Raw genomic sequence first — 2,841 nt, 5'->3', positions numbered from 1 at the left:
AGGAGACAGGGAAAACTGTTTCCAATGGGACAGGACACTAAGGTGTGCAAGAAGGTATATACTAGGGGCCTCTTATTGAAAGATCCTATGAGTGACAGAAACACAGCTTCATCAAGCTTAACAAGAAAAAGGTGGAGTGAGAGATTTGTTGACTCACATAACAGAAAAATCCGGTAAGCATATCTGGTAAATATGACTGGATCCAGGTATTTAAAAGATGTCAAGAATTGTCTTGCTCCATCTCTTTGCTTTCCTCTGTTCTCTTTCTCTTTGTCAAGAAGCAATCCGCCTCAGGGTGGTCCCTGATCACCAGCTTAGCACAGAGAGAGTCTCTTTCTCAATAGTTCCAACAAGATCTGTAGGCCAAAGTTCACTGAACCATTTTGAAACAGGTAACCATCCCTAGACCAGTCACTTAGCCAAAGGAATGTAGCATGCTTTAGCCAGGCCAAGGAACGTGCGCACCCTTGGAGCTCAGATATATATGTTGAGGGGAAGAGGAAGTAGTATCAGCTCCCGCTTGAATTCCATGGATTGAGAGTTGGGGGATGAGGAGTTTGCCAAAACAACAGTGCTAGGATTAAAAGAAGTAGAAGCAGATGCTGGGGAAGCAAAATCTTCCAGAAGACCTAAGATACATGGGGCCTGGGTCAGCCTGGCAACATGAGGTCTCCAGGCCAATGTAGCAGGCCCTGGAGGTGGGAGGAGAGACACGTAATTTCTAAGCAGCTCTTCAGGTTACAGTTCTTGCTTTGTCTGCCTGTCATTAAGTGGATTACCACAACCCATCAGCCTTTCAAAACAGTTCCTACAATGTCCATGGTTCTTTTTATAAAGAACAGCGTGCTATGAAGAGCACTTTAGAAGAGCTTACATTCTCAGAATGTGAATCAAGGTCTGGGTTAAGCCAGACAAACAGTCATTTGACCTTGCTGCTCTGTCATGGACAAGCAGGGGTGAAAGGAAGGATATGAGCTGAGACAGGTGGGCAGAAGGAGGTCAGAGAGCTGATAACCCCGGTGCTTGAGTCACCTTGTTTCTCAAAGGATGCTCTGAAAATGGATAATAAAAACAAGAAAAGAATCTTAAAAATCAGTTTGTTGATCAGTTTATTGTGTGGGTCCCCACCGAACCTGACCACATTGAAAATGGCCATGTGTTCCTGACTCAAGGCATCCCATCTCCTAATCAGCCCTTAATCCCTAGTAGCTCTCCAGTTACTTCCATGGTTACCGAGTCCCCTTCTTTTGAACAACCAAGGGCCTCAGGAAAGACTAAATAAATTATAACCATTAGTTCCTTTTATCTACTGCTTTATTTCAAGGACTTCTGACAGGTTCAAGAAGCATAATTTTACTCACTCCCAAGGCATGCCAGCTTGTTCTGTTCAAATTCCACCCAACCCCTTGCTTTAGAAGACTTTTCAGTGATTCTGTTTGCGTCGTCTGTCTCCTTACAGAGGAGTTATATCATCAGTCTGTAATTCCCAAGGATAAGCCAAGGATTCTGCTTTGGCATCTGCAGTGTAAAATAAATGTGGCTTAAATTAAAAATAGAGCAAAGTTCTGACCTGTTTGGCCATGGCTCTACATCGCCTGCTTTTCAGGATGAAGTGGTTTTGCACCAAATTGGCAAGATAGCCAAAAATATGCTTAACCCTGGCCACAGATGAAAATCATTCAAGGAAGTTTTCTAAAATAACCAGGCCTGGGCTTCACCCCAAACCAATTAAACACACATCTTTGGATTTTGGGCCTAAGTTCCGGAATTTTCTTTCAAGTGTGCAGAGGAGTTGAGAACTACTAGGAGAAGATGTTGGGGATCTCGGGACATTGAGTCCAAATCGGCATTTATGATTCATCTTCAGGCTGGTGTCACCTGAGAAAAAAGTCTGAGGAGCTGTGAGTCCCATTTACCGTGTCTTGGGTATGTAAGGAGTACAAGTTTATGAATTAAAGGATCTTGAGTCAGCTTTAAAGGAGGTCAAATTTCCGTGCTTATGAGAGAAAAAAAAAAAACAACAACAACTCTATCCAGTCATAAAGGAGGACAATGACTGATAGAGGAAGTTTGTCACAAAAAGTATAAAAGATCAGACCATCTGGGTACAATTAGCAAAATCTTGCAGTGACAACACGTCAACATGTTCACTCTTCCCAGACTTGGATGCTCATTTGCTATATGCCCTTGGATGCATCTAGTACCCTCCCTTGCCAAGTTTACTAACTTAAGGAATGAGCATGACCTTCGTGGTACTTAAGAGATCCTTTAAAGAAACAAGAGGCATTCACCATTATCTAAAACTAACTTTTGACCTATAATAACTGAATGAAAAAGCAGTCAGCAGAAGTTAATGGAAGAGAGGGGCAAGTCCTCCTAATAAATGCTACCTTTAGCCCCCTCCCCATTGCTTTAATTCTGTTACTTAAAGGAACAAGGTACAAAAATTCTGGAAATGCAACAAACTAGGTAGAGAATATAAGGCTCCCTCAGTGCGCTGAAGATAAATACTTTGAAAAGTAAGCTAATCCAGAGATACTCAGAACTGAATTATGTTCAGGGTAAATTGAAGATTCAGAAGTCTTAATCTGTTAAAAAGTGTAAAAACCCACAAGTTTTCAAAGAGTACCCCAGATCTACAGATGTATTTGTGTGTTGTCAAAATTTCTTTTTTGTTACAGAGAAACAGGAAATAATAATAAAACTGAAGTGGAGGAGATGGTATTAACTATTGCAAAGCCACTTGACAATGAAAACTAGCACATAAAAACTAAACAATAGGCCAGGTGCAGTGGCTCACACCTGTAATCCCAACACTTTGGGAGGCCGAGGCGGGTGGAT

Source organism: Homo sapiens, chromosome 3 (assembly GCF_000001405.40).
Source record: "Homo sapiens chromosome 3, GRCh38.p14 Primary Assembly".
Taxonomy (NCBI): Eukaryota; Metazoa; Chordata; class Mammalia; order Primates; family Hominidae; genus Homo; species Homo sapiens.
This window is presented reverse-complemented; position numbering follows the sequence as displayed.